The sequence below is a fragment of the Homo sapiens genome, chromosome 11 (genome assembly GCF_000001405.40).
Source record: "Homo sapiens chromosome 11, GRCh38.p14 Primary Assembly".
In the NCBI taxonomy this organism is placed as follows: Eukaryota; Metazoa; Chordata; class Mammalia; order Primates; family Hominidae; genus Homo; species Homo sapiens.
The window spans coordinates 28,580,093-28,607,793 of record NC_000011.10 but is presented as its reverse complement, the minus strand read 5'-3'; the positions used below and the strand labels follow the sequence as shown (position 1 = coordinate 28,607,793).

The window sequence follows — 27,701 nt, the reverse complement described above, 5'->3', positions numbered from 1 at the left end:
AAAAGAGAATCCGAGCTGGGATGGGTACAGGAGGATGCCCCGCAGAGTCAGTGCTGAGAAACAACTGACTGGGAGGGAGCCTGGACTCAGGCATTTACGGGCTTTGGAGCCAGACAGAGTGAGATATAAATTACAGCTCTGTATCTTACTGACCGTACGAAAGAGCAGGAGAGGTCTCCAGCCTCTGTTTCCTCATCTATAAAATGGGATAACTGCTTCTAAGGTCTGTTGTGAGATTTCAATGACACAATTTCTATTTTTAAAGAGCATCTCTCATAAATTCTTATTTCTCTTTTTTTTTCTGATTGGAGTAGAGTATGATTGATGGTAGAAAATAGTGGTGGGTTGTTGGTCACAAACACTGTCATTCAAAACAATCACCTGCACAAAAGCAGAGCTGTACATTCTTCACTGGATTTTGACAGGTTCCTCGGTTGTTTTATTTTGACCAGTTCAAGTCAGTCCAAACAGTTCGTGCAGTTCTAGGAAACAAGCTGAGTTTGGCCTGTGCATTTTGGCATCCTGAACCACAGGATCATGGTGGGGAGGGGGAGAGGAGGGAGGATGGAAAAGTACCCGGCAGTGCCTCCTGAATCCAACTTCCTGCTGGCGAAATCCACCTCTCGCTGACTCTGAGTCACCAACAGCATGCCTTCCCTCCCCTGCGGCCCATCCGCCCATTAGGCCCGGCAGCTCCCCTCCTAGGCTGACTTCCCTCGCTTGCTCCCACACGTGTGCTCAAGGTGGAGGCAACCCTAATGAGGAAACACGAGGCAGCTGCTGTGACAGGCGTTTCTTCCTTGGCCAGCAAAAGGAGGCCTGCAGCAGCCTCGCCTGCAGGGCCTGCTGGCCCACTGCCTTGCAGGTCACCCCTCAAACCCAGGCTCCCCTCAGCTCTGTAACCTGGAGCTCGCCCTTAGGATGGGGAACCATAGGAATTCTAGGCTGGGATCATAGACCCCAAAGGCACCAGAGCAGCCTCCGTGGTGAGGAGAAACCCTTAGACACTTGCTGTTGGGACTTTTCTCATGTATTAACACACCAGGAGACCTGAATGCAGTGTGATATGATGAGCATCAGGAAGATGTTTCCTGCAAACTCTTCTTGAAGCTACTGTCCCTCAGCCTGATATCAACATTCTCTATAATCTGCCTTTTCAGTCCAGTTTCCAAAATGGCCCTCTGCTCTAGCACAGCGTTCATTATGAACTTGACTAGTCTATCATGACTGCCCTCCAGCACTTGATAGAAACACAGACTGCAAGATTCTGATTCAGTAGATTGGGGTGGGGCTCAGGGATTCTGTGTATAAGAAAGACCTTAGATGATTCTCCTGATCCAGCAATATGGGGAGACGGCACTGGCCCAGTGGTTTTCAGTGTTCAGGATGGGCAGTCCTAAGGCTCGGTCGAGGTGCCTCAATGGTCACTTTAGAAGAGGGTAGCAGTTGAAGCAAGGGGAGCTCAGAATCTCAAAAATCATCCCTGTCATGGGTTGAACTGACAGGTTGAATAAAATATATGTTGAGTTCTAACCCCAGATTGCTGTGAATGTAATGTTATTTGGAAAGAGTTATTGCAGATGTTATTTGTTAAGATTAGGTCATATAGAATTAGAGTGTACCCTAAATTCAATATGACTGTGTCCTAATAAGAGGAGGAAGTAGGAGATTTGGATGCAGTTACACACAGAGGCACAAGAAAGAAGGCCATGTGAAGACGGAACAGAGATTGGAATCAGATTGCCACAAGCCAAGGAGCACCAAGAATTACTGGAAGTCACCAGAGACTTGGAGAAGTGAGGAAGGGTTCTTCTCTAGAGCCCTCAGAAGGAACATAGCCTGATTAACACCTTGATTTCATACACAGCCTCCAAAACTGTGAGAGGATAAATTTATATTGCATTAAGCCACCAAGGTTGTGGTAATTTCTTATGGCAGCCCTAGGACATTAATACATTCCCTCTGGTTGTCTTCTATCACACACAAACACACACACATGCACACACTCACACACACTTTAATTAGAACAGCTTTGTTATTTTGATTTATGTTATATTTTGGAGTTCAGCATAACCTTTCATTTGGCGAAGGAAAAAAAGGAGTTTTATTACTAACCAAAATTTGAAAATCTATCACTTTAGCCAGACTGAACCATGACTTATTCCCCAGGCATAACCTGAAGTTTTTTGATGCTATAATTGTACTCACAGCATTCTGTATATCTGGGCACTTTACCTACTTTCCTCCTGTTAAAATATCTAACCATGAAGCTCAGCTTCAACATGATCTCCTTCACTAAGTCATTCCTGATATCCCTGCAATTACATGTGACTTCTTTGGCTTCTGAATTCCAACTGAATTTTGGATCTTCTCTCAGAGCATCTATCTTATTCAACATTGTACTTTAGCTGCATGGGAAATGTCTTGGTCTCCATTTTGACTGCATCTTGGGTTCTGTGTTTTATCCATTTTTGTATCCTGTTCCCCACTCTGACCCAGTGCTTTCTAGAGTATCTTTCACAGTGCAACGGTTATTCAGTGATCATTTAATCAACAGAAGCTTGTGGGAAAATTTCACAAAAGGCCCTACTCATTTGGATTACTTGTGTTTTGTAGGTGTGATTATAATCACATGATAAAATAAAACTTTTGCAATGTTTCTTAACTAGATATTAATTTCAAATTCCCAAGCACTTTTTTCCCCCAAATATGCCTAGCCCTCAGAAAGTTTCCTTAGGCCATATTCTTTGCTAAGAAATGGCTTGTTTTATCTTACTTTAAAAATGGATATTTAATTTCATCCTAATAATCCAGGACAATGGGTTCTTACCATAGAAATCATGCAAGTAATAAAAAATGTTAATCCAAAAAATAATAAGATTGCACCTGAATTTCACAATATGTTTATTATAGTTTGATATACACTAAACTCAACTTTCTTAGTCCACTTTCATACTGCTATAAAAATACTTGAAACTGAGTACTTTATTAAAAAAGCGGTTTAATTGACTCAGTTCTGCATGGCTGGGAAGGCCTCAGGAAACTTACAATCATGGCAGAAGGTGAAGGGGAAGCAAGGCAATTCTTACATGGTGGCAGGAGAGAGAGGGTGCAGGGGAAACTGCCACTGTAAAACCATCAGATCTTGTGAGAACTCCCTCAGAAGATCTGAGAACTCCCTCACTATCATGAGAACAGCATGGGAGAAATCACTCCCATGATCCAATCACCTCCCACCAGGTCCGTCCCTCAGCACACTGGGATTACAATTCAAGATGAGATTTGGGTGGGGACCCAGAGCCAAACCATTTCATCAGTCAACCAGAATCTAGCTTACTAGATTTTTCAATCTGATGTATTTGCTTCTCATATTTAGGAGACAAGAGTCTGATGATCATAAAAGATACTCTCTTAGGGTTCTTATGTTAGCTTCCAGAATATGTTTCTGTTTCAACCTGCAGTCATCTCAATCTGTTTCAGGTTCAATGGCTACCTTTAATGTTCCTTGAATGTTACAAAGCAGGGTCCTTATCTTAATCATCTTTAAGATATCCACACCCACCGTAAAACCTGCTATACTACAATTACTCAGTGAAAAATCTATTGAATGGATAAAGAAGCCCTATTAATCCAAAGAAATCTTGCAGCGTAGCAAGATTTTCAAGTATCCATTAGAGAGGCAGAAAATGAAATTTAGACATTTGTGAAGCAAGATAAACAATTAAACAAATAATCAGAAAATATAACTGTCCGGAATCCCACAAGCTTCAGACATCTGATTATTTCAGATTTTCTGTTACCTAAAGATAAAGAAGGAAACTCCAAAAGGCCTCCCTATGTGGAGAACACTGTTTTACACCAGCGTGCTACATAAAGAAAAAGAGGTCTATTCTGGTCAGTTGGCTGACAGCACTATTTTTCAGGTATCAACAATATTCTGTATTTAGTCATCAAACGATCTCCATCAGGTTACCACGTCCTGGTGCTATTCTATTTTCATAAGTGTTCTTTCGTCACCAACACATTTTCATCCTTCTTAATATTTCCAATGGCATCACTGCACTCCACTAACGTAAAAAAACAAGCAATCTAAAAATTACCCTCTGCTGTTTCCCACTCATCCACAGAGAGTGAAGTTGCCATTTATGGACACTTGCTGTTGCCATGTTTTTCAGAAAGTTTGCCATTCCACAAGCTGTTTTTAGCCCCCATACCCACGACACTTCTACAGGCATTTAGTATTTCTTTATCTGACGCTTTTCCAAGGCAATACCTCCGCCTCCTCATTGAATCATGCGGGCTGTCTCTTAATCAAATGATATTTTTTGAAGTGTTTCCTCACTGGAACCCACAAGGTTGTTTCTCATATTTTCCCCCACACCTGCTTTGTATACTAACCTAGGGAGGACTACTTACGTGGTTTATTGTCTTTTTTGGAACAGAAACACGATATTTGTCATTTTCCTATTCTCCACAATCTGGCCCAACAGTTGAAAGTGTCTAAAAATATCAACTAATACTTCGTTATTTTCATGCTCTCCAGAAAATAATATATTTTCTCTGTTTGTATCTGGTGTTCTATAACAGCTTGGTCAGAATCAAAACTCTGTGGTGCCATAAAAACAGCTTGAAAATTAGTAGCAGAAAGATGGATTTAAATCCCGTTGATCAGAGATGTGACTTTGAGTACAAGGGCATATAAACCTCAATATTCTTGCCCACAAAATGGGGATACAAAAATTTAAATAACAAAGTTGGGAAAGAGTTAAATGAGATAATTGTTCTGCAGTTCACATATCTAACACACTGCCTGACACATGTTAGGGAACCAACAGTGTCTCCAAATATAGAAATGTCATAACTGTGGCAAGATGGTAGAGCAGGTACCTGTGCAGAGGGTGGCTGTTCACCACCCATGATATCTTAGTATTAAGATAAAAAGAAATTACTAAAATTAGAAATGGAATTCTTCTTAAGATGAAGTAGTTTTTGTTTAAGAAAAAAATCTTGATACATCTCTTAGAGAGTAGCAGTTGAAACCTATCATACAATAGCAGAAAGCAACAAAAATGTAGCTTAACTATTCAGCAAGATGAAGGAACCGAAATTTGGAGATGGGAGAAAGCAGATAAGTGAAAACAGAAAAGAGAAAAATGAAGACGGCAGAGCGTCATGGTGAGAGATTAGAGTCTAAGTTAGCCAATGTGTTCAAGGGAATTTTTAAAGAAGAAAAATGGGAAATGTCCAATGATCAACTTTAAGCTATTGTTTTAATGATATATCATCCTCCTCCATATCCTCAAAGCCTAACTCTTACATAAAGTTCTGGAAGAATGTTTCATCACTCAGGTTTTGTCCTGCAATGGCTATGGACATCAAGCAGTGAAGATAGAATTCTCCTTCTGAGGTAACATGACAGGGAGAACACATGTGAGGTGGTGAAATAATCCATTTGTAAGTAGAAGAACTTGGATTTGGAGAGAACCATGAGAATATAAGCCCCTGGAAGATTGCAGAAAACTTAGAGAAAGTAAGGTCCTTTCCATAGGACAGGAGAAGGGGGCTCCAGCACTGTTATCTAGACCAGGGTTGGCAAACTTGTCTTCCAAAAGGCCAGATAGTAAATCACGTAGGCTTGTGGGACATATAGTTTCTGTTGCATCTACTCAACTCTACATCATAGCAGGAAAGCAGCCATAGACAATGTGTAAACAATGGAGTTTGATTGTGCGTCAATAAAATTTTATTTACAAAGACAAGCACTTGGCTGGATTTGGTCCATGGACAGTAGTTTGCCATCTGCTGATCTTGACCAGGGTTCAGCAAACTACCTTCTAAAGACCAAGTATAGTCCCCTGCCTATTTATGGCCCCGTGAGCTACAAAATGTATTTCACTTTTAAAAATGATTACATTAAAATGATTATATAAGTACTTACATAATATCTACTATTTTGCTTCTTGCACCAAAAGGCCTAAAATATTTACTATCTGGCATAACCTTAAGAAAAAGGTTATGCTACGGATTGAATAATTGTATCACCCCAAAATGAATATGTTGAAATCTTAACTCCCAATGTGATTGTGTTAGGAAGTGGGGGCCTTGGGGAGGTAATTAGCTCGTAAAGGCTAACCCTCATCATGGGATTAATGCCATTACTGAAGAGGGAGAGGCATGAGATCTTGCTTCCTCTCTCTGTTCTCCATCATGTGAGGATGTGAGAAGACAGCCATTTGCAAACCAGGAAGAGTGGCTTCACTAGACACATGATTTGCCAGTGCCTTGCTCTTAGACTTATCAACCTCCAAAACTAGGAGAAATAACTTTATGTTGTTTATAAGCCACCCATCTGTGGTATGGGTATAGTTTGGGCATAGTGTCCTGAACTAAGGCAATTTGCCAACACCTGTTCTTAACCATAACAGCCAGTCGATACCTGTATTATACTGTTTTTCATACTGCTATAAAGAAATTCCTGAGACTGTAATTTATAAAGGAAAGAGATTTAATTGACTCACGGTTCAGCATGGCTAAGGGAGCCTCAGGAAACTCACAATCATGGCTGAAGGTGGAGGGGAAGCAAGGCACCTTATTCACAAGGCAGCAGGAAGAAGTGCCGAGCAAAGGGGGAAGAGCCTCTTTTAAAACCATCAGATCTCTTGAGAACTCACTCACTATCAGGAGAACACCATGGGGGATACAGCCCCATTATTCAATTACCTCCACCTGGTATCTCTCTTGACACGTGGGAATTATGAGGATTATAGGGACTACAATTAAGATGAGATTTTGGATGGAGACACAGCCAAACCATATCAACACCTGAGTTCCATGTACATTAGACAAGAATTTCTGTCCCTTTTGTTAAGGCCCAAAGTTGACATCTGAAGGAAAACATGAAGAAAAAAATTCTTGTTAACTCTTAAATATTCTCCAAAAGCCATCTCTACATATCAGTAAAAGAGGCCAGTATATACACAGTTACAAAAGCACGTAACCTGGAAGTCTTCATTAACTGTCTCTAGAGCCCTCATTTAAGGATCCACAAAGACCTGTCAGTTATATTTTGAAAATATCTACCCTAATCCAAGTTACTAAAATTATCATTGATATTATCCTAGTCCATGCTATCATCCACCTCTCACCTAGATAACTACCACAGCCTCCTTCCTATTCTCTTCCTGCTTTTCCTCTCACTCCCACCACCATATAGTCCATAACAGAAGTTGGAGAGGTATTTTTTTAAATTTAAGTTCCATGTTACCCCTTTAAGTAAAGTCCTCCAATAATAGTTCCCCTATTTCATTTAGAATAAAAATCTAAACTCTTGACCATGGCCTGCAGCGTCCTGAAAGATCTGTCCCCTATATGCCTCCCAAACATCAAATGATGTGATCTGAGCCCATTTCACTTGGTTCTTGTCTCCTTTACCTTCTCTCAGTCTCTAAGACTGGGCAAAGCTCTTTTTCAAAACAAGCTATTTGGGCTTTGCTTTTTCCTCTGCCTGAAATAATTTTCTCCTGGATTTTCACATGTATGACATATTTTCATCATTCAGTTCTCAAATATCACCTCATCAGAGAAGGCTGTCATATCTCTCTAAAGTTGATCCTCTACCCCATTATTCTGCATCCCACACCTTGTTTAATCTCATATAATGAATTTACCTCATTAGTAAGCTCCATGCATACTATGAATTGCACCTGGCACAGTGCTCAGCACTCATTAGTAAGCACTCATAAATATGTGCTGAGAAAATGACAGAATGTAACAAAGTTCATATTAATAATCACAAAACAACTCAACATTTTATTGCAATTTGGCGATTCATGAAACATTTTCAGATCCATTAACTCACTTAATCTTCATGGAACTCTGTGAGGTAGTTATTTTATGATTATTTTATAGATAAGGATAATGAAGCTCTCAGAGGTTGAGTAAATTTTATGAGATCACACGACAATTAAGGGAAGAATCCAGGCATGAGAAACATATTCTCTCACTGTACATTTGCTACTCTTTCCAAGACAACCACAAGACATCTACTAAGAGTCAAGTACCACCAACATGCTGTGGCTTCAGATGTGGTTCTTTGCAGTTATAGTTTTGCAAAGCCTAAGGGGTGAGACTCCTCAGGGGTACAAATCCTAGTAGGAGAGATGAAAGTAACTAAGTGCAGTATAAAGTATTTTGTAAACAGAGAAATAACTTCTGGGTTTAGGATCATTAGGAAAAATGTATTTGTTTCCTAAGGTTGCCATACCACAAACTAGGTGGTATAAAACAGCAGAAACTTATTCTCTGACAGCTCTGGAAGCCAGAAGTCTGAAGTTAGGTGTCAGAAGGGCCATTTTCCCTTTAAGACTCCAGGTGGAGTCCTTCTTTGTGTCTTCCTAGCTTCTGGTAGTGCCCATTAATCCCTGGCCTTCCTTGGAAGGCAATTGTATTACACTGATGTCAGCCTCTGTTTCCACAGTGTTCTATATTTCTATGTTTCTGTTTTTCCTTCTTATAAGGACACCAATCATAAACAATTAGGGCCCATTCTAATCAAGTATGACCTCATTTTAACCTGATTCCATCCATAAAGGTCCTATTTCCAAATAAGATCACATTCAAGGTACCAGAGGTTAGGACTATGTCTTATCTTTTTTGGGAACACAATTTAACCTGTAACAGAAAGCCTTCCAGGAGAAAGAATAAAGGCAATATTTTGAAGGCAGTCATTCTCAAAGTGGTATAAAAGAGGATTTTATCAGTTAGGTTTCTGCTAGGATAAGCTGCATGGTAAACAACCCCCAAATCTCAGTGACATACAAGAAATGTTTTCTTGCTAATGAGGCTGAAGGCTGGCCAGGGTAGCTTTTCCTCAAAGTGTCGGGTCAGATTCAAGCCTTCTTTAAGTCTTTCATTATAGAACCAGGGGTCATCTTCTCACAGCGGATGGCCAAAATGCAAGAAACCAAGCAATTCAGACAAGCACACATAAAGCCTCTGCTTGCCACACCTCTGCTAATGTTCCATTCACCAAAGAAATTCACATGACTTAGCCCAACATCCAGTGGAGCCAGGAAGGATACTCTGTCCACTCTAATGAGAGGCATATGGCAAAAGGAATGAAGAGTTGCAAACAATTATCCAATATTTTACAAGGTTTATTACCAAATATTTACTCACTGGGGCTCTGATATTTTCAAGGAACTCAGACATAGAGACGGGGACTGGGACTTTCTTCTAAAAGCCCTCATGAAGGTCTTACATCTGGAGATCTTTATTTATACTATGTAACAATTACATGTATCAGATATTAATAAAAATGTCCCAGGAATTTAGGTATCATGGAAAACTCTCTAGAATTAATGAGAAATTAGTTTCCCCAGGTACACATGCTCTATGTTTTTGTTTTCACAAATGGCAAAAATGGGCCCTGCTTGTATAAATACAAGAAGGCTATTACAGGGACAAAGGTCCAAGAGGCCAAAATGAAGAGAAAGATATCATATGTGAGGTCACTGGGGAGAGAACAAGCCAAAGAAATAACAGCCAGTCAAAGCACTTACAAGAATATTGAGAGTCAGAGCTGAGTGAAAATTACAAAAGAATCAAGTCTAAAACAAGGCATGAGGTCAAGTGGAGACTAGTCAGGAAGAGTAAGGGGAGTCCTGGAAATGCCAAAAGTATCTATCTCTCAAGCATCCTTGGCTTCCCTTCAGTGACTGGCATGTGTATGGCCTATTGGCACATCAAATAAGGTGAAATATAGATGCAGGGTACATGTGTTACATCTGAATACCCAGACTGCAGAGTAACATGCAAAATTAATTTTGTTTTGTTTTGCTGCAAAAACCTGCTCCACTCAGGGAAAGAATGTACTATCGAAAGGTATTGACAGCATAGAGCTACAGTGGGGGAAAATGCCCCATCAGTATGAAGTGAGTCAAAGGGGCCTGAAATGGTTCAGTTAAGACTTTGTATTTAATTAAGTAGAAAGTTATCATGTCCCTATATTGACAGAGGTGCTTCCTAGAGCCAAATGAGTGGAAACCTTTAGGTTTTCTCAGAATATTTTCAGACGAATCAGGAGAATGAAAGTTCTTGAAACTGTGGCATCTGAGAAATGCTGAAGTCCCAGAAGACTTTTTAGCCTTGAGGACCCACAAATATTTAAAGTGTTTTCTGATAGACTGTTCCACATGTTTCCAAAAGGTAGCCCAATGTATGGATACTATATTATCAGTTCAACCTATGGAATGAGAACTAGTGAGCTTCCTGTAAAGCTTAAAGTGGGGAGGGGCAGGAAAGGTGGGGCTCAGGAAAATAATCTGGTCTTGGTCTCATGTTCAAAACTTTTGGCATTATTTCTGTATGAGGTTTTGTGTTTAATTGTTGTGTTATCTTCCTAGTGTTTTCTCTGTATATGTCAAAAAATTAACATAAACATGACAAATGTAAGATAACTCTGGCTTGGCATTAAAAAAATACTTTATGAACCTAAAACAGAGAAATTACTCAGATCTCTCTCAACCTGTAAGAAGTTTTGATTCACTGCCACTTACATCGTTTGAAAGGGAGAGGACATCTATCCAAAGATGTGGGAATTTATGTACTGTACATAGTATTGTACTAGATGTCTAAGACTCCATTCAATATTGGCATTTTTAAATTCTAACTTATCTCACCTATATTTTTCTTGTCTGTAAAGATGGTTGAGAAATTCTTAGCATTTCTCAATGTGGAGTATGAAACAACATTATCTATTCCTGGAATGCTCTTTGTTCTCTCCCCATGTCCAACCCCACAACCTCCACTCCCCAACACCTCAGTAAAGTTTAGTAACTCATACTCCTCCTTCTGGTTTTAATTGGAATTTTAGTTCCTCGCAGTAAACTAATTTATCGGTTTAGGTTAAGATTTTTGTTAGACACTCAGCTACCTCACTTAAACTCCTTGAGGGGCTGGAATCATTTATCATTTTGCCAATATCTAGTACACAGCATGGTGCCCTGTGAAAAACAGAGGCTCAACAAATAGTTATTAAATGAATAAATGAATTATTTGTAATATTAATAGGTGTCGAATGAGAAATGCCGAATTAACTATTTTTAACAGGTTTCTTTTTTTTTTTTTTTTTGAGACGGAGTCTCGCTCTGTCACCCAGGCTGGAGTGCAGTGGTGTGATCTCAGCTCACTGCAACCTCTGCCTCCCAGGTTCAAGTGACTCTCCTGCCTCAGCCTCCTGAGTAGCTGGGATTACAGGCACGTGCCACCATGCCCAGCTAACTTTTGTATTTTCAGTAGAGATGAGGTTTCACCATGTTGTTCAGGCTGCTCTCGAACTCCTGACCTCATTATCCGCCCTCCTCAGCCTCCTAAAGTGCTGGGATTACAGGTGTGAGCCACCTCGCCTGGCCTGTTATTAACTGTTAATAATTATTTCCTACATTAGTGGTATCATAGAATTAAGGAAATTCATTAGTGTACAATGCTTCTCTAATGTGGTTGATTGCGGAATTTTTTTTTTTTTTTTGAGATGGAGTCTTGCTCTGTCACCAGGCTGGAGTGCAGTGGTGCGATTTCAGCTCACTGCAATCTCTGCCTCCCGGGTTCAAGAGATTCTCCTGCCTCAGCCTCCCGAGTAGTTGAGATTACAGGCATGTGCCACCACACCCAGCTAATTTTTTTGTATTTTTATAGAGACGGGGTTTCACCTCGTTGATCGTGGAATATTTTTAAAAGAGCTTCTCCTGGGACTAGTGTTCTGTGGTGTACATTTTAGAAAATACTGGAATAGAATACCACTTCCAAATTTACTAACCTTTGAGTCTATTGTCCAGAATTGGGAAGCAATGTGCTATACATGGAAAGAACAACAAACTATAGCTACTGAGACTTGAATATTTCTCAGCCTGTTTAGTAACTCCAAACAAGTCCTTTAAGCTCTCTGAATCGTGAGTATTTTATCAATAATAGAGGGACAATGATATCTGCCCTGCTTACCTCATAGGACTATTATTAGAGGATAACAGGAAAGTAAAATGTAGAGGTCAGATTCTGGTTAAAGATATTAGAATGAACAAAGAGTTTATATTCCCCTCTTCCCAAAAATACACTGAAATGACAGTAAAGTGATCTTTTTAAAAGGGCTAAGCTCACAAAAATAAAAAAAGGAAGAGGAGAATACAGCAACATTTTGGAAGCTGGAAGGCAGATGGATGAGTGATAACTGATTCAACAGATCCTAAAATACTGAAACCTAAAGAGGAAAACAGATAAGTAACTTAATTTGCACTCCTCAGCCCCAGAATATAATTGTAGGAATGAAGTCTTTGAGAAGGCAAGAAAGAGAAATCTAGAGCAAAAACAGGATGTGAAGGTCTTCCCACTTGAGGAGAAAACATAGAGGAGGACATTACCCCTCCCAAAAAAAGAGAGAGAAAGCGAGAATAAAAAACAAATGTTCCAGAACTGACATATGTTTCCTCATTGAAAGTTCCTACTGGGTGCCCAACACAATGAATAGAAGAGAACTACCACCATGACACATCATTATAAAAGTTCAGAATTCAGCAGATGAAGATAACTGAAAAGCTTTCTGGGGTGGGGATGAGGAGACAGAATCAGAATGGAATTAAACTTCTCAATAGCAACAATTAAGTTGAGAGTTTGCCTCATGTGTTTGACCATATTGCTAGTAGAGTTACACTTATGCAGAGGGTTTGATGATGAATTAGTGATTGGTATATAGAAAGCAAATCAAAGAAAACCAATAGAGTTATTTATCCTGGAAAATAAAAATATTGAAATAAATGAAATGTAACTATAAAACACCATTATCATTCACCTGCAAAAATGTGTCCACAAAATTATGACAGCATAAACTTTGAACACAAACAAAACCATTATTTTTATATACCTATATTCAAAGAATGGTTTGTTATTTTTCTATTGTGGTTATGAAGAATTATCACAAACAGCATCTGAAAAAGGTGCACATTTATTCTGTCATATTTCTGTGGGTCAGAAGTTCAGGCAGAGCTTAACTGAGTCCTCTGCTCAACATCTTACAGCCTGCAATCAAGGTGTCAGCTGAGCTGCATTCCCATCTGGCGACTTGACTGTGGAAGAAGCCACTTCCAAGCTCATTCATATTGTTGACACAATGCATTTGTATTGACTATAGGATTCAGGGTAGCTTTCTTCTTCAAAGCCAGGAAGGGCCTTTGAAGACAAAGAGATGAGTTTGCTAGTAAGATGAAATCTTATGTAATGTAATATAACCAAGGGAGTAACATCGCCTCACCTTTGTCATAGACTTTTGTTTAGAAGCAAGCCCACACTCAAAGGGAAGATATTAAACAAGAATGTAAATACCAAGAGGTAGAGATCACTGGGGCCTCCTTAAAGGCTAAAATACCAAACCCAGTACAACGGGCAATCTCTTCTTTTTCTGATACCCCGTAGTTACATGGTCTGGTGGAATTAGAGATTGGGATAGAATCTTAGCTGTTCCATTAAAAAAAAAAAAAAAAGCTTCAGTAAATTTACAGAGTTGTGTAACCATTCTCAAAACCCAGTTTTAGAACATTTCCATCATATCAAAAAGATGCCTCATGCCCATTTATAGTTAATTTCTGTTCTTAATCTCAGTCAACTACTAATGTGCTTTCTGTCCCTATAGATTTTTCCAAGCTCTTCCATTTTTTGCCATCAAAATGAGCCAGTCCTTCTTCACCTCTTTGCTTTTTCTGCTCTAAGTTGCAAGGAGCTAACTCCTGCTGCCTGCATTCTTGAGGTCCCTATATCACCAGCTTCTCAAGCAGCTCTTGAGGTTCTTCCATAAGTCTCCAACTGGCACTTGACAAGCCTACTGGAGTTTCAGCTTTCCTCAAGGAGCCTTAATCCCTAGCCTCCAAGAACATAACCTCCTCCCTTTCTGGCCCTGGGGGCAATGGTGTGTTGGAGTTGGCTCTTGCTAACTCATGAGAATCAATTGTGAAGTATTTGGGAATTTTGCAAGCCTGTTGTTAAACCACTGGTAGCTTAAAATTGAACTCAGTAAGAGTATTTATATCATGAAAAACACCACAATCAGGATATTTTTGTTTTATTTTTCAGAGAGCTGGTTTATTAGCACACCACTGCTTGGCTTCCAAAACTTGCTAATCTCTGGATTACCTCCTGTTGTATCCAGCCTTCAAGATGTCTCCCAAATAACTTTGTACCCTAATATTCACACCTTTATTATGGGAGGGACTCCTCCCATAATAAATAGGGCTGATTTGGGTAACCATTAGATTATTGCAGAAATAATGATATGTGACTACCAAGGCTAGGTCACAAATAGCGTAATGGCTTCTGCCTTACTCTCACTTGAATCATGCTGTCTTGGGGAAGTTAGCTGATAAGTTATGAGTAGACTCAAGCAGCAGTATGGAGCGGTATGTGTAGGAAGGAACTGGGGCCTCCAGCAACAAGTCATTTAATTGAGCCAGCTTGGAAGCAGATCCTTTGGCCATGTTCAGCTTTCAAATAACTGCAGTCCAGACTGGCATCTTGACTATAACCTAATGGCAGACTCTGAGCCAGCACCAAACAGCAAAGCTGTCCCTGGATCTTGACCCACAGAAACTCTATGAGACAATGATTATTATTGCTCAAGCCATTAAGTTTTAGTGTAAATTGTTATGCAGCAACAGATAACTAATACAGATTTCAGTACAAAGAATTATGTGCTACCATAACACAAGCCTAAATTATGAAAATGGCTTTGAAAATGGACAGTAGATGACAGCTGGAGAGAATGTGAGGAAAGCATCATGAAATCCTGAAGCATCTTTAAGGGTTTACTACTAGAAGACTCTGTGGAGGCTGAAGGCAAGAGCTTATAGCGGAGTGAGGAAACTATTACTAGAACTTGGGGAAGGGCATCCTTGTTATATAACGTCAGGAAGTTTAGGAGCACTGTCCCCTTTGAAAACATGAGAAATGGGAAACATACCTAATGAATTGGGTGATGTAGCTGAGGAGGTTTCCAGGCAGAGTGTTGAAGGAGATACCTCGCTTCTTCTGCTGTTTATAGTAAAATGCAAGCAGAGAGTGAAAAGCTAAAGGAAGGGCTGATTAGAAAAGGAGCCAAGAATTGTTGGATTTGAAAATTCTCAGCCTCTCCAGACAATTTATGATACTAAAATTAAGAAATAGCTTCTGGGCAAAGATCAAATCCAGGACACTTTCAGGAAAACAAAAGATGAAGCCAAAGATGTGACTTCAGAAAGATTCAAGCCAGTTCCTCAAAGAACCATTCAATCAACTGAGTTTCTAAGCAGCTGAAGGATGTTGACCCTCAGCAATCTCAGCAGCAGTCCAAGGAAGAGAAAGCCTCATCTCAAAGAAATTTGTGGATATACCTTGAGGCTGTTTAATACCTTAGAAATAATAAACAAAGGATATCTTTGCTTCTTGGTCCTATAGCAGTACTTACATCAATTCTGACTCAGTACATTGGCCTAGAGGCTTTGCAATCTCTGAGAGATTTCCATCTCAAAGATAACTGAACATTGTATGCCCTGAGTGAATCCAGTGGGTATCTGGCCCAGAACAAGTCACTGTACCATAAATGTAAACTTTCCTCTCAGATATGCTTTTGGAAATGTGTTTTTAGCTTGTCATGATAGTCTAAATTCACTTGCAGAGGAGCTTCAGTTCAACCACTGGCCATTCTTCCCTCAATGGCCCCATTTCCACATTGAAGGGAATGGATCCAGCTAGTATGGCAGAAGGGTCAGTTCCTGACTACCATATTTTTTAATGCACAAACACAAACTAGCATTCACGATTGTTCCAGAAATGACAAGAATAATGGGATGAAGAGGGAGTGGAAGAGAGACTGCAGATTAGGGGTTCTTGAAAATTTTAAAATAAACTCTCTTCCCCCACATCCCAAATGTCCCTCCCATACACTAGGAGTCCTTGAAAGAATAAATCAGCTTTAATCTAAGAGGAATTAAGTAATTCAGGGCAGTTTGAATTTCAGTGGAATAAGGGAAGAGTTTTCAGAGAATGTACAGTGAGTGTAGGGAGGCATTGTTTTGTCATAGCAAATCATTAGAAAGCATAGAAAGTATGCCTCAAACACCAAGATAGAAGGCTATTGCATGCAGGGTCAGCAAATTACCTAAACTGAGTATCTACTGTAGAGCAGATGTCCAAACCTATTATTTCATTAAAATAGCAACTTAACCACCTAGCTATGTATGGAGGGCTCTCTTGTAGACAGAGAGTTAAATAAAAATGTCCCATGTGACTAACATAGCTTCTCTGAAAAGAGGGTATCTTGTCCAAAGAATACAGAGTTTCATAAACAAAAAATAATTCATAATTGTATAAATATATTATGCAGATCTTTAAATTGCCCAAGGATAGGCTCAAATAAGTATGGAGGTCCACAGGTAGCTCACGGAACAAAGGCCATAGTGTAAGACCATGAGAGAGGACACCCCTGTGCTGCTCAGATCATTTTCACAGTCATAAATAACAAATGATAGACATTTGGGAAACCATCCTTACAACATAATCTCATCAATTTTCTACAGATAGTAATAATAGCAATAGTTAACACTTAATGCTGCAGTGAACTAAGATCATGTACCAACTCATTAATTCTCACAACCACACAATAAACTAAGTGTTACAAGGATTCCCAGTTTGCATATAGGAAGAAACTTAGATGTTAAATAACTAGCCAAACATCACATGGCTAATATTATAAATGGCCAAGCCAAGCAAGGAACTTAAGATCATGCTATTAACTGTGCCAGACAGGAACTTAAACAAAAGTAAACTTTGAGTAATTAAAAATAAAAATATGAAGCCATTTCTATAAATAAAATTCAGAGCTGTGGTTTGAGAAGGCAGAAACCAGTATGAATTACGAAGAAGAAGATGAGCACTCTATAGCTTTTGTTACTGTTGGATGTAAATTTTAGTTAAGTGCACTGTGTAACTACAAATATATAAATATTTCATTCCAACACACAGATTCATTTATGTAGACGCAGTTTGCTTTTTTGCCCTCATAAATCCTGTGTTCAAAACCATGCCAGGCATAAGCATCTTTATATCTGAAATGGATAAAATAACTACTGCTTAACTATTACAGTAAAAATAATGCTGCCCAGAGAGGGCAAAACCAAGACAGCAGCTACTTTTTAACAGGATGTTGTTTCAACAAAGTTTAGTTTTGTCTCAGAATGTAAAAGCAATGCAATCTAATCTGGTGTGACTGAAATAAAGTACTTAGTGCTCTTATTTAACTGAATGTGCTTGGACCACTTACATGAAGCATCTATTCTATTTTTACTGATTATTTCCACTAATGACACTTGCTAAAGTTGAGCAAGAAATCTAAAAAAGTCTAAGTAAATTCCACAATGATCTGGTTTTTTGAGCTATCTTCAAAATTCCTGACTCTATGATTCTAAGTTGTTGTATCTCTAAAGAAACCATCTATAAAAGTGAGACCGTTCTTTTAAATATACCTGTCACAGTCTTCAAAATGTACTTTTGTACATACCTTCCCTGACCCTGAAGATCACACCATTTCCCCTTATAATTGAATGGACAAGGGAGTAATACATATTCTCAAGGAATCACTCTTAAGAGTTTCATTTTACTTCCCAGACCTAACTGCTAGAGACTGGACAATTTGGAAAGTACCTGAAATAACAGTTGAGCATTTTGGAGAAAAATTTGCCATGTGGAAAAGAAACAAACTGCAAAAGTGATTTTTATCCCATCCATTCTGTTTAAGAAAAAACAACAACAAAAAAGAGGATTTGGGGTTGACCTTGTTCTGACAGAATGGTGTGAACATTTCTTTGTTGGGGGGAGTAATATTGAATGCAGATTTTAGTGAAATATTAAACTTTCAAATAGGACACTCAGAGACTTAATAGACACAGGAAAGCAGGTTTCAATTCCTCTTCTGTAAAATACTATACATATGCTAGTGCAAAACTTATACAAATCTAAACTTCTAATTATTTTATTCTTTTTTCATAATATGCAACCTTTTTTTTTTTATTTAAACAAGGATAGGCCTTAAAGAGCAGTATATCAGTAGCTGTTGTCCCTTCAAGAGTCACCTATTTGTTGCTGTCTTTTGGAGTTAACTCATCCTATCAGAACTAACAGCATACATGACTGAATGAATAAAATGAGGAATGTAGAAATTTAGGCAAAACAAGCAAATTAGAAGGCAATGAGTATATTGTTTTCTGTAGCCAAGTTATGGAATCCTTAATTGCCCTTCTACTCTGAAAGTCTATTGAATAAATACAACAGTTTCCTGGCCAAAATTTGATTGGTGACACTGAGTGGTCAGTGTCATTTAGTGACCATTGTTTGGTTGCATATTATATATCAGCTATTGAGCTAGGTGCTAATAGCAATGACAACTGTGAGCTAGTGAACTCTTTAAGGGTAAAACTATAACTGATACAATTTTGTATCCCAAGTGTCTAATACGTTGCTCCAAAATGTTTAATGAAATAAATGAAATAAAAACTTTTCTAAGTTTTAAAATATCTGGTTATAATATTTTCATTGTTTTTTAAACACCAGATGGATGTAGCTTCTTTTACAGATAGGACTTCATTGGACCTTGAATCCTTTGACACAAGAAAGGATAATCTAAAAAGTTAACAAAATTAGCCTCAGTAAGATGTAAACCTCAAGGCATATTAAGATGGATCAAATTCTCTTTTATCTTTCTTAAAACACAAGTGCTTAAAAGAATGTGGCCTTCGGAGATTGATAGTAAGATAAGAAAGTCCAGCTCAAGAGGTTGACTCTTAGCACTTCAGGATACAAAGGCAGGTGGATTGTCTGAGCTCAGGAGTTTGAGACCACCTGGGCAACATGGTGAAACCCTGTCTTTACTAAAATACAAAAAATTAGCTGGGTGTGGTGCCTCACACTTGTAGTCCCAGCTACTCGGGACGCTGAGGCATAAAAATTGCTTGAACCCAGGAGGCAGAGGCTGCAGTGAGCCGAGATTGCACCATTGCACTCCAGCCTTGGTGACAGAGCGAGACTGTCTCAAAAAAAAAAAAAGGTTGACTCTTGGAAGGACATGTAGAATAAGCCCAGTCCTCTGTTGCCTCCCTCCTATGCTTGGGCTCCCACTGGGAGCCTAGATAACAGAGAAACCACTAGAGGAGCCAGGATGCAGTCAAGAGACCCCTGTCTAGAGCTGAGGAGATATGGGAAGTATTAAGTGTGAATATTCTATAGACATAGAAAAGAAAAACCAATGTTTGTGATTTTTAAAAGTGGGAGAAGTGGGGAGGAGCAATTGAAAGAGGTAAAAGGTCTCAACCATGACATTTCTTTGAAATGTGGATTTTTTGGGGGAGGTAGTAAAGCTTTATTGCATAACTACTCACTCTTACTATTGTAAACTACAATGAAATTTTCTTTTCATCAGGTTGAGTCCCAAAGGGATATAGAATTGAATATACTCATTAAGACATATGAAATCTGAATTATATAGCATCTTTGCCCTGACTGTAGTTATTTATGTATTTAAGATTTACACTCCACTGAACGCAAAACAACTGAAAGCAACTTATTGGCTAATATACAATGTGACTTAAAGAAAACCAGGTATTCCCTTCACCAAGAGCAATTTCAAGGGAAAGATGTTCCTGTGTACTTAAATGAATAGATTGGGCAGACATTCCATTAAATTTTACAAAATTTAGCTCTAAACAGTCTAATAAATTTGACAAAAATGCAAAAAAAAAAAAGCCATGAAATCATAGCAGTCTTATTTCCTGTCATAAGGAAGGACTTAAATCTAGGTGCAGTCAAAACTTACCTTGGATTTAGAATCAAGAATTTATTTATCCTAGCAAAAAGGATGCTGTTTAACAACAGCATTATGGGTGCTATCTTTAGCCCCAGGTCTACAAAAAATAGAGAAAGTCTATATTAAGTGGATAATTTTAATATCAAATCTTTATAAAATCACAGAGTATCATAAACTAAAAGTCACCTAGGATATTTCTACAGAATAATATAAATAATATAGTTCAAATAATTTGCTTGACTTAATACAGAGATAGAATATAAAGCCTCCAGTTCCACAGATAATTGACATGTTTATTTAAATGTCAGCTGTCTTTGGAGAGCATTTGGCTGATGCTAAATTTATGATCAGATGCCCTAGTAATTGCCAATAGCATAAATGGTCTATGTTGCTAATTAATGACAATGGTAACTAACAAATGTAGAACTTTTTTCAGTTTATCAAGCATTTTTTATATCCATTATCACACCTTTTTATTATAATAACCCTGTAAGACAGGTTCTAGCATTGGTCTTCTTTTAGGGAAAAAAAAGAAAGGAAGGAAGGAAAGAAGGAAGGAAGGAAGGAAGGAAGGATCAGAATTGCTAAGGAGCAGGCCAAAATGGTGCGTGCAGTAGGAGTAGTCAGAACTCAAACCCACATTTTCTGACATAAAATCTCATGTCCCTTCCACTAAATATTTTCTTGTCACTTCTAGTTAAATATCAACCCAAAGTAAAATTCTCTTATGGAAGAAGTAGGTTTGGTTTGGGGCCTGATAAAAGTTTTATTTCAGCAGGCTTTAGTCAACAACATGAAGGAACATGGGAAGAGGAAGGAAGGGTGACCTGAAAATACAATTTTCTTGGATGCAGGCTGGATCCTGCCAGCCTTGGTGGCTATTGTAAGAAAAAAAACTGGCCTCTTCATGACCATTTATACTAATCATTAAGAAGCCAGAGTTTGACATCATAGACTACATATCAAAATATTTTCTCAAAATGCCTAGGGGAGATTTAGAAACCATTTTTTCCTTAAAAAATTTCATCATCATTTTCATAATTCTGTAATGTTTTTTATTGCCGTCAAAACATCCCTTCCAGGCACAATTACGAGAAAGTCCTCTTGGGGAAGACATAATTTCCTAACTCCCTTCTATTGGTTGGGGACAAGAAGGTTCTGCCAGGTGAAGAAGTCTCCACTCAGTGTCACTAATCTAATTCTGGCCAGGAAACTGTTGTATTTATTAACAGACTTGCAGAGTACAAGGGCAATTAGGGATTCCATAACTTGGCTACAGAAAACAATAAACTCATTGCCTTCTAATTTGCTTTTTTGCCTAAATTTATACATTCCTCATTTTATTCATTCACTCACGTATGCTGCTAGTGCCGATAGGATGAGTTAACTCCAAAAGACAGCAACAAATATGTGACTCTTGAAGGGACAACAGCTACTGATTTATTGCTCTTTAAGGCCTATCCTTGTTTAAATAAAAAAACCACTTTACTAGTGTCAAAAAACTTAGTCTTCTGAAGAGAGAATGTGCATGCTGGGCATATTAAGCCTATATATTCCAATATTATAAGTGCCAGGGACTTAAGGACTGATTTATTCCTGGGCACAGTGGCTCACACCTGTAATCCCAGTGCTCTGGGAGGCTGAGATGAAAGGATCACTTATTAAGCCCAGGTGTTCAAGACCTGCCTGAGCAACACAGTGAGACCTCATCTCTACAAAAAATAAAAAATCAGTAAGTTTAAAATATGTATTTTATATATATTTAAATATATATAAATCTATGAATATATATTTTATAAAAATAATTTTAATTAATTTATATATAGAGAGAGAGATTTCATATAGATATAAATATAGATTATATAAATATGGATATACCCCCAAAAGAAAGAAGGAAATACATTCTGCTGAGCAGTCCATGGAATAAATACCAAAAATTATAAATAAGTAAATAAATAAATGGATTGATTTATGCATGTTAAATAATGTTGTAATTCCTGAATTAAAGACCATTCTATAGACAAACTAAATTTTTTGACAAGGCAAATGGTAGAATGAGAAAGCCAAATGACCTAAGAAACTGTATAAAAAATGTTCTCCAATAAAATACTGTAGTCCTTGTGTATTTCAAGAAAGCTTTAAATAAAGTCATTTAGGATGACTGAGGTTTTCTAGGTGCAAGCCAGTGATATTAACATTATTTTCTCACAGGTTGATGGTGGTGCAATCTGAGGCATATGACTTTGGTATTTACCTGAAAGAGAAACCACTTGATTATCTTGATACTACAGAGTGCCTTAACAATAGGTTAGAAAGAGATTCCATTAGAAGAGACAACTGTAATATTTAAAGAACAATCATTTGTCAATCCAATAAATAACTATTGAATGGATGGCCATAATGGATGAGGACCAATGTTAAGTGCTAGGGATACAGCAGTAAACCAGAAGAGTTATTTGCCCTCACTGAGCCTCTGGTCTAGAAGGAAAGAGAGACATACACGAATCACAGAGAAACTATATATTTAGAATTGCTCTGGGTATTTTAATTGAAACTTAGAAAGTGGATATTAGCAGATAAGACTTGGAAGACATAAGTCTGGAGGTCTGGGGAATTGAGTGGTCAACACAGGCTTCCTAAGTTCCTTTTAAGGAGAGGCCTGAAACAGTGAGTAAGAGTTAACTCAGTAAAGACTACAGGGATGTGTGTGTGTGCCCATGTATGTCAGGGCATGCCTCATGCAGAGGAGGAGATGAGCATTCCAGAAAAACAGGATAGGAATGTTTAATGACACAATGGAAAAAGAAAGAGAAAGTCTATGGGGCTGGAGTATTAACTTGGTATCTGAGGGAAGAGAAGGTGGAGAACAGAATATAGAACAGATCCTGCCAGCCTTACAGACTGCTGTAAGAGTAATGGGTATCAACCTAAAAGCAGGAATGAACCTTTTAAGGAGGAAATGAATGTCATCAAATTTGTATTTAAAAACAATTACTCTAGTTGGAGACTGGATTGAGGAAAGCAACAGTGAATACAAAGAGACTAGTTGGATTCTATTGCTGGAAACCATAAAAAGATTAGAGTTTGGACTGAAGATGTGGGAATGCAGATGGAGAAAAGTGGATGGACTGTACAGGACCTGGAAACTGTTTGCATATGAAGGTGGAAGACTTGTAGGTTTTGCACTAGTGACTCTTTGGAGCTAGGTGCCATTTACTGAGATGTGAAGCCCAGCAAGAGACATTCAGGGCCTAAAACAAGTCTTGAAACTAAATTACACATACACACACACACAAATAAATTATAACTCTGGCAAAGTTATAGGAGGATTGTATGTAAAAACAAGCAATACTTAAATGTAAAAGTAAAAGTATATCAATACATCAAATTACTTTAAGGGTACTTCAACAACCAATATGAGCAATTTGCTTTTTAAAGTACTATTCTAATACAAATATTGGTTTAAATTTTCCTAGCACACTTTAGAATGCTCTCATAGTAAAAGGAAATAAGAAAGAGCTTTTAAACCTATATCTCAGATATTGACTTTCCAGATAAAAGAGACTTGGTCTTGCCCATATTCAACAGGAATGGCAGATGCAATGTGAGAAAGTTCAGGCTGTTTTGTCCCAACGAATATTTTTAATTATCTTGTTCCTTTCAGGGATGTAGATCCTAAAGAGCTTCCACCATTGAATGTAGCATTTAAATTTTAAAACAATGTTACATTAGTAGGTAGTTATTTGACAAAATGACTAGGATCTGGAAAATGGATGTGAGTCGGGGAAGACTCCTAGGTTTTGATCATGAGTAAAAATGACAGTAACTTTATAGAAATTTTACAGTTTCCAGAACACTTACATCTTCATAATCTCATTTGATTACAGTTGGTATATCTCTCACAGGGAAAACATGATGATAAGCTAGAATCCTACAAAATGCAATGAATTTTAGAGCTAAATAACTTATGTGCCCCCTTAAAGCTTAAGAAAAAACAAGTAAGTTGAAGATAATTTAAAGACGTTCTGCTTGACGCAGTGGAGAGCAAACTTTGCCAAACCAAGAAACACTTTCTTCCCCAAGAAATAGCCCAAGCCAACATTTATTTAAAAGATTGAAATAGATTAAAAGATGGCACATCTACAGTGACTTATTAAGGGAAACCCAGGATTTTGAGGGCATAGTCCCTAACATTTATGCTGGATGCCAAGGAAGATTAAAAACCTACTCTCCCACAACACAGCTGTTGATGACTCTGTCATCAATAGTTTAGGCTGGATGGACAAAAGGTCTGCTCCAAATTGGCAAGCCTTATGTTCTTATTATGTGCGTTTCATCACTGTGTTCTAGAAGAAGAAAGACCATCACCACCAACCAACATCCTCTCATTCTCGTGTCATCTAAAAATACCTGCAGACAGTATTACCCTGCAATTACCTCACACGCCTGCCCATCAGCCATAGCCACCTCCTACCTCCCGCTCACTAATAGCACAGTCCTGTATCACCTCCTACTCAGCCAAGCAACACTACTGTAGCTGCTTTAGATACACTCATATCTATATATATAGTCTCATATATAAATATATATTCAGACATATACTCATGTGCACGCAAAAAATGCTTTTACAAAAGAAAAAGGGAAAGCTAGTTATGTTAAAGTAGCTGCACTTTGGAAAGTTAGTGTGATATGCCATTTGGAAAATAGTTCCTGTTCTGTCTGGGTGTTCACCCAAATGCCTACAGAAAAGCATTTAATTATCTCAGACATGAGCGGTATTTGGTTTTATTAACTCTTGACTCTTGAGCAATTGGAGCCCCCATTTTCTAAGTCCATTGTATCACACCTTATATTTCCCTCTTTCAATATTATATTATGAACTTAATGTTTATAATATTATAGTACAATTTTTGAACGAGTCTCGTTCTATTTTAAGAAGGTATTTATAGATACTGTACTCATCATTCAACAAATATAGATTCTACTGCTACCCGTTTTTACTGTTTTTTCTTATTATTATTTAGTAAATCCTTGAGGTAATGGTGTATCATTTTGAGACAGAAATTAGTGAGATGGAAAGGAATCAGGAGCAGGCACAGGGGAAGGGAAGCAGAAACAGGAATGGGAGAGATTTGTCTCTGATAGCAACAGCAGACAAAACTACTATTAGCATAATCAGAGCAACCATGGCTTACAGCAGGGAGCAGGGAGCCTGTGACTCTCAGCTCAGCTGCACCTAGCAACAAGCCCAAATGAGCACCATGGAGTAGCACCTAGGGCTGTGAGCAGGAACTGAGATCACAGCCAGGGAAGCACTTTGAGGGTGAAAATGGCGTCAGGATGCAGGGGAACGTCTCTATGATGGTCCCATCATATAATTTGTAGTGATCATTTGTATAATGATGATTGAGCAGACAGTAGAATGGGCACTGTGCAGGCAGGACTAGGCTAATTGTCAGAAACCCGAGACTCAAATCCTGACTCCGACACTAACTAGCTCTGTGATTTTGAGCAAATCTCTTCAAATAGCTGAGCCTCAGTTTTTCCCATCTGAGCAACAGCTACCTCTCCCATCTGCCCTACAAAGTTACTGTAAACACTTAATTAGAATTGTATGTGAAATGTTCTAGAAAGTATAGCACAGGATATGGCTGCACATTTATGACTGAAAGACTCTCTATTAATCCTGAAAGACTCTGTATTAGTCCATTTTCATGCTGCCTGGGACTGGGTAATTTATAAAGGAAACAGGTTTAATTGACTCACAGTTCAGCATGACTGGGGAGGCCTCCAGAAACTTATAATCATGGCGGAAGGAGAAGTAAACACGTCCTTCACCTGGTGGCAGGAACGAGAAATGCGGAGTGAAGAGGGGGAGGGAAACCCCCTTATAAAACCATCAGATCTTGTGAGAACTCACTATCACGAGGACAGCATGAGGGAACTGCCCCCATAATCTAATCACATCCTAAGAGGTCCCTCCCATGATTCGTGGGGATTATGGGAACTATACAATTCAACAGGAGATTTGGGTGGGGGCACAGCCAAACCATATCAGACTCCATCTATATACCATCCGTATCCCAGACTAAAATAAGTATCTTCCACTGCCCGCAGCTTTTCTCAGTTAATGACATCATGTTACTAGAATGTAAGCTCCACAGGGACAGGTATTTGGAACAATGCCAGGCGTATAGGGGGTCCTCAATCAATATGCATTGTATGAATAAATGAATCAACTCAATTGCCCAATAAGGGCAAGTTATCTGTGATGTATTCTTGTTCTTCATTCTGACACATCTAATAAATCACCTCCAGGTGGCTATCACAGCTGGCTTCCTCAGTGACACACAGTGGTGTGCTAATAAATGCTTAACAACTGGCTCTCAGGGAAATATTTCTGGCATTTGCCACTTTTCATGGTGTATATTCCCACTGTGGCTGATTTCAAGCTACCACCATGATTACATGTGGATTATGGGAAGAGACGCCCCCCATCGACGCTCGTGGGCTGGTGTGAGTCAGCTCCAGCTCACCACAGCCTCCGCTGCTCTCATCCTAGTTAAGACGCTCACCTCTAGCAGCTTGGCTTGACTCCTGGATGTTCCTCATTATACCCACCATCCACACGGCCGTCAGCATGGTCTTTCAAACACAAACACCTGATCATGTTGTTTTCCTACTTAAAAAGCCCCTGGCTAACATAATAAATCTCAAATACATAGTATGACAGACAAGAGGCTTCTGAAGGCAGTTTACTGAGCCTCTTCCGTCCCAACCTGGGTGCTAGCCACACTGAACACAGTTCCTGCATTTTTATGTCTCTCTGCTTTTGATCATGCTGTTCTCACTTCCAGGAAAGGTACCTCCCTTTCCTCTCCACCTGATAGACCACCTACCTATTTTACAGGCCCAAATAAAGGAGCACTTCCATATCAAAGCTTTCTCTAATCATTGCAGGTATTTCCTCTTTACCCCTCACCTATCAGCCCCAGGTAGGATGAATTTCTCCCTTACTTGCATCTTCATATCTTTGTAATCCTACCTCAATGATAACAAGTATCAACTTTTATTATAGTTACTTGCTTATTTCTCTCTCCCTTCTGCTGTTCTATGAGCTCCTCTTAAGCAGGACCTGGTCCTTTATGAACACTCAGCAGGTACTGAAGCACTTGGTTGAGGTCTTTCAATGCTTTGTGACTCAAAGTTCTCTGTAGTTCAGCAGCATCAAGTCCACCTGGGAACTTTTTCAAATGCCATGTCTCAGGCCTCACCCAGACCTACTAAGGCAGAATTTGCATTTTAAAAAGATAACTTTATGATTAATAGGTGCATTAAACTTTAAAAAGTTCTAGTTCAAAGAAAAATAACTAGGGCCAATTATTGATAAACTTGACAACTAGGCTAAGGTATTAACATCTTTGGGAAATGGAAATCTATTGACAGTCCTTGAAGAAATATCATAGCAAAAATACCATTGATTGATAATCTCTCAGCTTGGTGAAATGATTTAAAACAATAATATTAGAGCAATGGTTCTCGACTGAGGACAATTTATTTCCTCCTCCACCCACCAGAAACTATTTGGCAATGTCTGGAGACATTTTTGGTCATCACAACTGAGGAAATGCTCCTGGGATCTAGTAGGTAGAGGTCATGGATGTTGCTAAACATCCTAAGATGCACCCAAGAGCCCTTCACAATGAAGACTCATTCAGCCCAAAATGTTAATCGTGCAGAGGTTGAAAAACCTCGGAATAAAGGAAGGAAAAACAGGAAGTTGATGAAATAATGCAGGCATATAGTTATGAACCAACACCAGTGTCAGGGC

The 27,701-nt window shown here is 38.7% G+C and overlaps 1 long non-coding RNA gene across 1 annotated transcript in view, besides 2 other annotated features; it reads right to left on the bottom strand.

The window, feature by feature from the left end:
- LINC02758 (long intergenic non-protein coding RNA 2758) overlaps positions 1-27,701 on the bottom strand; it is a 140,695-nt gene that overhangs the window by 71,848 nt on the left and 41,146 nt on the right. The gene's annotated exons all lie outside the window — the stretch shown is intronic.
- Positions 246-782: an enhancer, noted in NCBI's record as "H3K4me1 hESC enhancer chr11:28628559-28629095 (GRCh37/hg19 assembly coordinates)". NCBI's record gives its function as "activates a minimal SCP1, AML or CMV promoter by ChIP-STARR-seq in naive H9 embryonic stem cells {active_cell/tissue: H9 hESC(naive)}" and the evidence as "EXISTENCE:reporter gene assay evidence [ECO:0000049][PMID:30033119]".
- Positions 783-1,320: an enhancer, noted in NCBI's record as "H3K4me1 hESC enhancer chr11:28628021-28628558 (GRCh37/hg19 assembly coordinates)". NCBI's record gives its function as "activates a minimal SCP1, AML or CMV promoter by ChIP-STARR-seq in naive H9 embryonic stem cells {active_cell/tissue: H9 hESC(naive)}" and the evidence as "EXISTENCE:reporter gene assay evidence [ECO:0000049][PMID:30033119]".